A 12,060-nucleotide genomic window follows, 5' to 3' on the forward strand; every position below is an offset into this window, starting at 1 on the left:
TTCCAGCTTGGTTTCATTCTCCCCATCACTTTCAGGTAGACCAATCAAACGTAGATTTGGTCTTTTCACATAGTCCCATATTTCTTGGAGGCTTTGTTCATTTCTTTTTACTCATTTTTTTCTAAACTTCTCTTCTCAATTTATTTCATTTATTTGATCTTCAATCACTGATACCCTTTCTTCCACTTGATCGAATTGTCTATTGAAGCTTGTGCATGCATCACGTAGTTCTCGTGCCATGGTTTTCAGCTCCATCAGGTCATTTAAGGTCTTCTCTACACTGTTTATTCTAGTTAGCCATTCTTCTAATCTTTTTTCAAGGTTTTTAGCTTCCTTGCAATGGTTTCCAACATCCTGCTTTACCTTGAAGAAGTTTGTTATTATTGACCTTCTGAAGCTTACTTCTGTCAGCTCATCAAAGTCATTCTCCATCCAGCTTTGTTCTGTTGCTGACGAGGAGCTGTGATCCTTTGGAGGAGAAGAGGTGCTCTGGTTTTTAGAATTTTCATCTTTTCTGCTGTGGTTTCTCCCCGTCTTTGTGGTTTTATCTACTTTTGGTCTTTGATGTTGGTGACCTACTGATGGGGTTTTCGTGCAGATGTCCTTTTTGTTGATGTTGATTTTATTCCTTTCTGTTTGTTAGTTTTCCAATTAACAGTCAGGTCCCTCAGCTTCAGGTCTGTTGAAGTTTGCTGGAGGTCCACTCCAGACCCTGTTTGCCTGGGTATCACAAGCAGAGGCTTCAGAACAGCAAATATTGCAGAACAGCAAATATTGCTGCCTGATCCTTCCTCTGGAAGCTTTGTTCCAGAGGGGCACCCGCCTGTATGAGGTGTCAGTCAGCCCCTACTGGGAGGTGTCTGCTAGTTAGGCTACATGGAGGTCAGGGACCCACTTGAGGAGGCAGTCTGTCCATTCTCAGAGCTCAAACACCTTGCTTGGAGAACTACTGCTCTCTCCAGAGCTGTCAGACAGGGTTGTTTAAGTCTACAGAAGTTTCTACTGCCTTTTATTCAGCTATGCCCTGCCCCCAGACGTGGAGTCTATAGAGGCAGCAAGCCTTGCAGCACTGCAGTGGGCTCTGCCCAGTTCGAGCTTCCAGGCTGCTTTGTTTACCTACTCAAGCCTCAGCAATGGCAGATGCCCCTCCCCCTGCCAGGCTGCTGCCTCGCAGGTTGATCTAAGGCTGCTGCGCTAGCAGTGAGCAACGTTCTGTGGGCATGGGACCTGCTGAGCCAGGCATGGGATATAATCTTCTGGTGTGCCATTTGTAAGACTGTTGGAAAAGCACAGTATTTGAGCAGGAATGTCCCGTTTTTCCAGGTACAGTCTGTCACAGCTTCCCTTGGCTAGGAAAGGTAAATCCCCTGACCCCTTGCACCTCCCAGGTAAGACGATGCCCTGACCTGCTTCGGCTCACCCTCCATGGGCTGCACCCACTGTCCAACCAGTCCCAGTGAGAAGAATCAGGTACCTCAGTTGGAAATGCATAAATCACCCATCTTCTGTGTCAATCACGCTGGGAGCTGCAGACCAGAGCTGTTCCTATTCGGCCATCTTGGAACAGCAATCGGTCTTGATCTCTTGACCTCGTGATCTGCCCACCTCAGCCTCCCAAAGTGCTGGGATTACAGGCATGAGCCAACACATCTGGGCCTACAACCTATTTAAATACTATTCATGTCCTCCCTTCTTTTGAAACTCACCAGCCCCATGAGCCTTGAGGTCCTTTGGAGATGATGGGGTTAATTCCACAGCAAACTTTGAAAGCTGTAATGTGTTACCCTACTTGAAAACATACTTCTGAAATAAGTATAAGTGTTTAGGGCAAGAGGTGCTCTTGGCCACTAATTTTCTATCATTTCTGAAGTGGACACTCTTTATAAATCAATTCTTACACAGAGCCACAACATACAAAACAGGGAAAAGGCCAGCAGCTCTCATCAAAGTGTTATTTACCTAGATGCTCCCTAACCCTCCCACCCCTTTCCTTTGATGGCCCTTTCAAGACCTAGAATTCTCCCAGACACAGTTTAAAAACCTTGCTCTGATCCTACCAAATCAGAGGGATTTGGCCAAACCTCTGGTTTTGAGCTTTAATCTGAAATTGCTTCATGTGATGCCTAACCTGTCAGACATCTGTGCCACACTGAGTAAGTCCCAAATGTGTGACCTCCAAAGCTCTAGTAATTTTTCAAGTCAAATCCAACTTAATATGTGTAGTGGGTGTCGTAGCATTTCCCCAAAATTCATATCCACCTGGAACCTCAAAATGTGACTTTATTTGGAAGAAGAATTATTGCAGATATGATTAAGATAACTCAACATTCGATCATATTAGATTAAGGTGGGCCCTAAATCTAATGACACCTTCCTTGTAAGGCACAGAAAAAGAGAAGACACAAGGACATAGAGAAGAAAGCATTGTAAAGATGAAGGCAGAGATTGCAGTGATTGATCTACAAGCCAAGGAGCTCCAGGGATTGCCAACAAATATCAGAAGCTCAGAAAGAAGCATGAGGAGCTTTCTCCCTCAGAGCCTCCAGGAATAATCAACCTACCAACACCTTGATTTTGGACTTCTGGCTTCCAGAGCTGTAAGACAATATATTTCTTTGTTTTTGACTGCCAAACCTGTGATCCTGTGTTACAGCAGCTCTCAGAAAGTAATACATTCTGCCTTTCACTTAGTAGGCCCTCCAACATTTGCAGAAGAAATATTTGTTGCATGAAAGGAATAAATGAGTTCAATTCGATATAGTGGTTGACTAAGAAAAATATTTATTAATTAGTGTTTGAGGAGGAGATGGGATGCATGTGGCTGGGGCTGGAGGAAATATATGTTCTTCTTCAACTCTCTTAGAACTCAAGACTAAGGCAGGGCCTCTGCAGGGCCCAGCATGTGAGTGGTTCAGGAAGAAGAAACTATGACTAGCACTGTTGGCTATCAGAGGAAAAACAGATCACTTATTGAGGCTTCCTCAAAGATGTCCTGAGATAATATTATAAAAGTTACTTATTTTGAGCTGAGCACTTAAAAAGGTACAAATCAGCCTTATTTATGGGGTCTCTATTCTATTCCATTGGTCTATATTCCTGTTTTTGTACCAGTACCATGAAGTTTTGGTTACTGCAGCCCTATAGTATAGTTTGAAGTCAGATAACATGATGCCTCCTATGACCATCTGATCTTTGACAAACCTAACAAAAACAAGCGATGGAGAAAAGACTCCCTATTCAATAAATGGTGCTGGGATAACCGACTAGCCACATGGAGAAGATTGAAGCTGGACCCCTTCCTTACACCATATATTAATACAAAAATCAACTCAAGATGGATTAAAGACTTACATGTAAAACCCAAAACTATAAAAACCCTGGAAAACAACCTAAACAATACCATCCTGAACATAGGAACAGAAAAAGATTTCATGGCAAAGACACCAAAACCAATAGCAACAAAAGCAAAATTTTACAAATGGGATCTCATCAAATTAGCTTCTGCACAGCAAAATAAACTATTAACAGAGTAAACAGACAACCTACAGAATGAGAGAAAATATTTGCAAACTATGCATCTGACAAAGGTCTAATATCCAGTATCTATAAGGAAATTAAACACATTTATAAGAGGAAAAACAGCACCATTAAAAAGTGGACAAAGGACTTGAACAGACACTTTTCAAAAGAAGCCATATGTATGGCCAACAAGCATATAAAAAAAAAGCTCAATATCACTGATCATTAGAGAAATGCAAATCAAAACCACAGTGAGATATCACCTCATACCAGTCAGAATGGCTATTACTAAAAAGTCAAAAAATAACAGATGCTAGTGAGGTTGAGGAGAAAAGGGAACATTTATACACTGTTCTCAGGAGTGTAAATTACTTCAACTATTATGGAAAGCAGTATGGCAATTCCTCAAAGAGCTAGAAGCAGAACTAAGATTCAACCCAGCAATCCCATTACTGGATATATACCCAGAGGAATATATATATTATTCTACCATAAAGACACATGCATGTGAATGTTCATTGCAACACTGTTCACAAGGGCAAAGACAAGGAATCAACCTAAATGCCCATCAGTGACACATTGAATAAAGAAAATGTGGTACATACACACCATGGAATATTATGCAGCCATAAAAAACAATGAGATCATGTCTTTTGCAGGAGTGTGGATGAAGCTGGAGTCTATTATCCTTAACAAACTAATGCAGGAACAGAAAACCAAATATCACATGTTCTCACTTATAAGTGGGAACTAAATTATGAGAACTCATGAACACAAAGAAGGAAACAACTGACACTGAGGTCTTCTTGAGGGTATTGGGTGGCAAGAAGGAGAGGAGCAGAAAAAATAACTACTGGGGGCCGGCGCTGTGGCTCACACCTGTAATCCCAGCACTTTGGGAGGCCGAGGCAGGTGGATCATGAGGTCAGGAGATTGAGACAAGACTGGCCAACGTGGTGAAACCCCATCTCTACTAAAAATATAAAACTTAGCTGGACGTATGCCTGTAATCCCAGCTACTCGGGAGGCTGAGGCACGAGAATCGCTTGAACCCAAGTGGTGGAGGCTGCAGTGAGCCAAGATCGCGCCACTACACTCCAGCCTGACAACAGAGTGAGACTCTGTCTCAAATAATAATAATAATAATAATAATAATAATAATAATAATAATAATAACTATTGGGCACTAGGCTTAACCTGGGTGATAAAATTATCCATACAACAAACCCCCATGACAGGAGTTTACCTATATAACAAACCTTCGCATGTATCCCCAAATATAAAGTAAGTTTAAAAAAAAAGTACAAATCATATACATATCAAATGGGAATTGGTAGACTCATATAGTTCATGAGAAGATTATTTTAATGATATTTTGATAGATTCCAATAATAACTATGAAGTTGTTATAGCTTCTTAGATTTTGCAATATACTGTTACCTTGGCTTTTGTGTTTTCAATCCATGAGCATCAAGTTTTACTGGCCATGTTTTGGAGGCACATTTGTTGTCTGTTTTGTGTCTTCACACCCATCACCTAACTACGGTTTACTTCTTATGCTATGTACCTAGTGACTAAATTTCTACTCACTTAATGTCCCTGAAGAGTTTTTGAAATGTAATGAATTAATCACTTTCCCTGTAATTTATGCATACATTTATATACTGAACTGTAGTTTAATCAAACTCCTTTGCCTTGTGTAGTATAGCAGTAATGTCTAATGAAAACATATGAAGTATGTGTTTCATAATTACCCCAGACAGCTCATTTCGGTGTGCTTTCCTACTTAATCCCAAAATTCCTATCTTCCTGCACTGTAAACACTTTCCTTCCCTTCTCATCAATCTCAGTTATATAAATGAAACAGGGGTGGTTGCACAATTACTGAGTGTTCTTTTCTGGGTGTTATAAAGATCCGATTCTCAGAGAAACACCTGACCAGGGCACCCACTAAAAGCGATCCTTTTGTTTGACTGAAAGGTTAAAGCAGGTCCAAATTAGGGAGAACTTCACAAACTCCATTGGAGGAGTGCTGCAAGGGCCAGTGAATGCCCAGGGCATGGTGGAAACATGGTTCATGCGGACCCGCCCTGCTGCTGGGAGTGAACCTCACTCAGTACGCAGTACTGTACTTTCTTCAGGGCACATTAAGAGAAAAGCCATCCCAGTAAAATTACTCTCTGCACCTTTCTTTAAATTTCCACAGCTAGTTTAAATGTCTTTTCCCTTATTTTTTTTTTTCAGGATAATATCTTTTCTGTCTTTTCCTTCTAAGAGGAAAACAATATTTCACATTCCCCACCTTCAAGATTCCAGAAACTATTGAAAGAAGATGCAAATCATCTTGAAAATAGAGTCATGGAAAAACACACTGCTAGTTGAAGGCAGATATTCTTATACCTACTGACTGATTTCAGGTAAGTTAAATGATCTCTAAAGCTCCAGTTTCCTCATCTGCAAAAGAAGATAATGTCAACTATCACTGTAGGTTGCCATGAGAATAAAATAATAAGTAATGCCTAGTACAATGCTAGGCACTACAAAAGACTATATGCTTTTTCTTCTTCCTTTCCATTTTCTGTCTACCAAGTGAGATGTTCATTTGTTTGATAGCATTTATGGAACACATTATATAACAGGCACTGTGTTAGAACCTGGAGATAGGGCATGACCATTGGCCAAATGAGTGTGACTCTCTAACAGGGAGGATAGACATTAACCAATTAATGACATTCCAATTATATTTGCCAATTCTGTGTATTCTAAAGGAAAAGCCCAGGATATGCTGGGATAATTTGAACAGAGAAGAGTACCTGAGGTCATTAGGGAAAACAAGATTGAATTAGGTGAAGACAGAAAAGGGAGGGGAAGAAGCTTCCATGTAGGAAGAATCTGAAAACCTAAAAAGTATCTCCTAAACTCATTAGGGTAAGAATTTTTCAGATTTATCATGAAGACCTCCAGGGAATTATTTTGCACTTTCCTTTAGCAACCTATTCTAGTGTGTGTTTTTGTTGTTGTTGTTGTTGTTGTTGTGGGGGAGGTGGATTATAATATATAATGCAGAAAACGCTATGTAACTGTTTGTAGAATATAGCCTATGGTAATATGCGGCAATATAATGGATTATTAATTTATCTTTTATTCTTATTGCATTTTTTCCCTTTTCTAAATGAAACAGCCTGGTCCTTATGATCCCTTACTGTGCTGAAACTCTTTGTTTCAAAATGCAATAAAAACTTACTGGGATATAAAGGCTAGAAGACTGATAAATTTGAAGCAACTGTGGTTGTGGAAAGGAGGTTTAATTAAAGGTAGAAGGACTATCAAGAGGAGGAGAAGAAAAATAAGGAGGAAAAATCTTTTGATAATGTCTAAAATTGCATTATCAGTTTTATTAGGCAATGAAAAATAACTTAATAAATAAATTACATTTAGTTTGATTTTTTTTAAAAAGAGGAATATTATGCTTCTTATGCTTTCACATTTGTAGAATAAAACTAACAGTCTATACAATAAGAAAATCATTGCTTAAGTGAAGTTCTTTTGATATCTCCAACATGTACAGCTTTCTCTATAATGTGCAAAGCAAACCCTGTATTGTGCTAAAGTCAGCACTATTGCAGGGCCCTGTTAATATATCCCTAGAGCTATGATTTGTGCAATAGGCCCTGCCAGGCCTACTATCCTCTACTTCCTTCTGGCCAGTTCACACCCACAGACTGGTGTCACTGCAGGGCATGTGGTGTGACTAGCCATTATTAAATAACTGGTGGATAACTTGGTAAAATGTAACTCTCATACAGCCCTTGTGCCTAAATTTCTTTTTGAAATACAAAAACCAGTCGAATTCACCATGTATATGTAAAATTCACCTAATGTAAAAATTCACTTTACTTATGGAAAATTCATTTTACAGGAATTTTTAAATGCTATTGAATTAATGGTTACTCTATCATTATTAATAATGTGAGTGACAAATTATTGATCTACACTAGGCTAAGGTTCTGAATGTCATTCGAGGACTGAGAATGACATTTTAAGAATTGCCTAACCCTTCCGATGTTTATCTCTGAGGTGACTATGTACAGTTTTCAACCTCCCAACATGCATTCACCCTTTTCCTTGGGTTTTTCATAATTCAGCCATCAGCATGGCACCCATATAGCCTATGTACTGACTTCACCCCACCTCCGTGTGTGTGGTTCACATGTTCAGCCAGTCAACACTCAGGTCCCATCCTCCTAACTGCATGATTGGTTCAGAGAATGTGACCAATTGTGCCAATCAAACACTCAGATAGAGGCTTACTGGAAAAAAAAGTTTATTTGATCCTCCAGAGAACTGCTACAAAACATACTGTTACTTCCTGCTAAATATGAATTAGGAGCAAATAATTCCCACTAGCTGTAGGAAGCCATCTTATGGCAACAGGAAAGAAAGACATAAGGGAAAAAATGGTTATTTGAGTGACCTTGTTAATCCATGTAATAATCTTTACCTGACCACTACTTCAGGACCATTAGTTATGTAATACACTCCCTCCTTACCTTTTAAAAAACTGTCAGTGGGACTCATGTTTTCAGTTACATGGAATTAAAGGATTTTGGAAACAAGATCCTTGTTTTCTCTCCGCCATCACTTTATTCTGAGGTTGGTATTGAAGGAGAGCAGAAAACGTGCTCAATTTCTTTTCTTTTCTTTTTCTTTTTCTTTTTTTTTCTTTTTTTTTTTTTTTTTGAGACAGAGTCTCGCTCTGTCGCCCAAGCTGGAGTGCAGTGGCTCGATCTCGGCTCACTGCAAACTCTGCCTTCGGGGTTCATGCCATTCTCCTGCCTCAGCCTCCCGAGTAGCTGGGACTACAGGCGCCCACCACCTCGCCCAGCTAATTTTTTGAATTTTTAGTGGAGACGAGGTTTCACCATGTTAGCCAGGATGGTCTCGATCTCCTGACCTCGTGATCCGCCCACCTCGGCCTCCCCAAGTGCTAGGATTACAGGCGTGAGCCACCACACCCAGCCGAAAACGTGCTCAATTTCTATCTTCCCTGTGACAGCAAACAAATGAGTGAATTACAAAGGTGAATTGCAGTTTTATTAGGCAATGGATTTTAAGTAACTTAATAGCCTTTAAAAGGAAAAATTAGCAGAAATATATAGTTATTATATGTGAGCAAAAATATACAGTTTTATACAAACACACACACAATGTTTCATGACTTTACTCCCTTCTGCTTTTCCTCATGCAAAGGCGCTCCTGGATTTCTGGGAAGGTGGTGCCAATGTCAGTCTCCTTGATGGAGTATATTATTCTGATTCAGAGTACAGCTGAAAACTTGAAGGCCTATCAGAACATCTCAGCACTCAGACCATGGATTTACTAATTCCCCCTTCATAAATGGGAAAATCAATAGAAAAGAAGAGCAGAGAATAAAAAAGAAACAAAAAATGAGCACGTAACTACATTTAAAAAAAAGAAGGCAAAAATCAAGGGCCAGAGAAAATGATTTTTAATTGTCATTCTTCTTTTTATTCTTTTGTCGTTCTACAGTCTCAATCGTGTATAGACTAATGAGAAAAAATGAAAATGAGTTTCATTAGACAGACCACTTTTGTTGGACTCAGTCTTGAGCTGATCAAATGAGGCAGCTGAACTGAGACTGAATCTTCCCTGTGATTAGCTCAACTCTTGAAGTAGCCAGGCACCTGTGAGGATACAGGGGAGGAGAGAAGATAATAATTGGTCTCTCATCTTTTATAATTATGTGTGTTTCAAGTGGATGTGAACTGTGGGGTTTGAGAGGGCTACATAAAAGGGGAAAATTCTGACGTGAACACTTGAGTCATTAAATCTAGCATTCAAAAGGAAAGGAAGATAAAAATTTAAACAATAGGAGACTTGAGCAATAGAGGCCTTAAAATAATAATGTTTACTGAAAATTAGGACAATTGTTCATTAATTTCATATCTTACGGCATCTTCATCATACTAAATAGTTACCATAGCTATTGACTGGACAGAGAATGAACTGTTTTATCCTCCTTTTTATACAAAATTTCTAACGTCTCAAAAAAAAGATAACAATTTCCTCATTTTTATATTTCACTTTTGAAGTAAAAATGAACAATATATGAGAAGACTTCAATGGACTATTTATGTGTGTGTGGATCATGAGAGAAATTTAACAAAATGTAAGGTATTACAGAAAACTTTTTCTTTATAAATATAAAACATTTCCAAAGAGTATGTGACTGTGATGTTCATTCTCATCTCTTATTTTTAGGTTCCTAAACAGAACATAAACAAATTTTATGCTTGATATTTTGTCTGTAATTAAAATATACTTCCCGCAAATTCATGGGTGGGTGAGAGGTGGGGTTTAATTAGGGATTTGGGATGCAGACAGCTCTTCTATTCTTTATTAAGTGGAAAAAATGACTGTTCTCCCAATAAATTACTTTTTCCCAAGATACTAGAATTAATTATTGTAATCCAACATAACTTGTAATAATTTATATTTGAAAACATACTTTAATAAAGCAAGATTTAAGAAAAAAAGCAAACAAAAAGGTATAATTCTACTAGACTGTAATCTCCATTAGGACAAGTGATTTGGTTCACTGATGTATTCTGATCACCTAGAACATAGTCTGGCACATGTTATTGATACTTAATACTTCATCTATTTGTTGAAAAAAATGTAAATATATATTTTCACAACATACCATTCTTACTCAACTTGAACTCTACTCACACATAGTCTTTATCTACCTGTGGCTTTCTATCAGGTTTGTGTAGGATAGTTACATAATGTCATCATGGGGATCACCATGTCTAGACAGCCCCTTGGAGGAGTAAATACTGCTAGAGCTAGATCGACATTGGCACAAAAACAAAAACAAACAAAACAAAAAAACACTTGGTCTTTCTTCTCTTACAGATTGCTACTTCAGAGAGAAAGAGCTCCCACTGCCTGCTTACAGCCAACCAGTTAGAGGAAAGGCCCTAATTATCCTTCCAAGTTCTGGCACTCAGACTCTGTCTATTTCTTCTTTTGGCTCCAGACCAAACAAAATGTGAAAAGGAAAAAAAAAAAAAAAGTCAAGAAAAAATGCAACAGGGCAATAATGCTTGTCTGTGTGGCACACAATCAGAAAATTACTTCCTCTCTACAAAATACTGTTATTAACTTTCTTCCAGTGATCAGAAGTTTAAGAGTTCATACAATGCTTAAATTAATGAATAAAACCCTATTAGCATACTATGTTTCCTTATTACAACAGAAAGTCTTTTGAAGGAGATATATCCATCTTCAGTTGCAAAATGATGTTACTTCTATTACCAGGGATGAATTTTAAGCATATTGAGATGCATATAAAACATTTACTCTGTATTCTTTATGTTTCCCATCAGGGACTACTTTTCTACTTTGAAATCAGAATTTTTGTCTTTTCTCTCTTTTTGGCATTCCTTATTCCTCCTCCCATTATCCCCATTCCTCCCCACACAACTCCATGAACTTATCTTTTGTCTTTATCTTTTTGTTTTTCTCTATACACTAATATGCACAAGTTCCCACCTGCCTCCCCACAATGACCTCACTTTTTTTTTAAGCATTCACTACCTCCCTTTTGAAGAATAAAGAAGTTGGAGAAGATGGTACGTAACTTTCTGTTTTTCCACTTCTCCTAAGTGGGTAACTTCACTAAAGATACCTCCATTGGTAGGGCAGATCTATATTACTAGAGAAGAAAAATATAAACTTCATATACTTACATTTATGGAAAAATACAAACATTTCTATCTTTTCTATTGAACTAGTCACCAAAAATGCCTCTAATCCCAAATTCAGAGCTCACAGCATAGTCTTCTTAGACCTTATTAGGTTTTATGAAAGTGACTACCAATTAGCAAGTGAAAGGGTATGTAACTTGTATAGCAAACCCATTCAAATTTCTTAGAGTACACAATCATGTAAAATTGCACACCAACCACTGAGCCTTCAACAAGAAAATGTTTGCTGAATGGATAAATCAATGAAGTGAGGATGTGGCGAATCATCTTGGCTGAGGTATGGAAAGTGAACTGGAGACTAGACAAGCTGGAAGTTACAAGACCAGTTAGGAGATTTTTTTAATAACATTAAGGAGGCAAGTAGTGATCTTTTAAAGTAGTGATCTTTTAAAAGGCAGCAGAAATGGAGAAAAGGGGCTAGGTACATTCTAAAAATAGGGACAGGTAAAATCTCCAGTATTTGTTGCCAGAATGAATTTTGGGCAAGCATCCAGAGGATGATAAAGACAGGACTCACAGTACCCACTGGTATTCACCTGAAAAATGAAGATTTCAAAAAATTATGTGAATATCAATCAAATGAACATGGACATTTATAAGTTTACAAGCCTTAGAGTGCCTAAGTATGGACTCACTAAATCATCTACTCCCCTAAACATCCTTCTACATGCTGACAAGGATCAACTTTCCTGTGTGGACAAAAAGAGTCAAATTCTGAAATATAATTGAAGAGATATATTCTGAGGCA

General features: G+C 38.3%; 1 annotated feature.

Annotated features, from left to right (window-relative positions):
- Positions 627 to 1,147: an enhancer, noted in NCBI's record as "H3K4me1 hESC enhancer chr8:94217152-94217672 (GRCh37/hg19 assembly coordinates)". NCBI's record gives its function as "activates a minimal SCP1, AML or CMV promoter by ChIP-STARR-seq in primed H9 embryonic stem cells {active_cell/tissue: H9 hESC(primed)}" and the evidence as "EXISTENCE:reporter gene assay evidence [ECO:0000049][PMID:30033119]".

This window comes from Homo sapiens, chromosome 8, assembly GCF_000001405.40.
Source record: "Homo sapiens chromosome 8, GRCh38.p14 Primary Assembly".
NCBI lineage: Eukaryota > Metazoa > Chordata > Mammalia > Primates > Hominidae > Homo > Homo sapiens.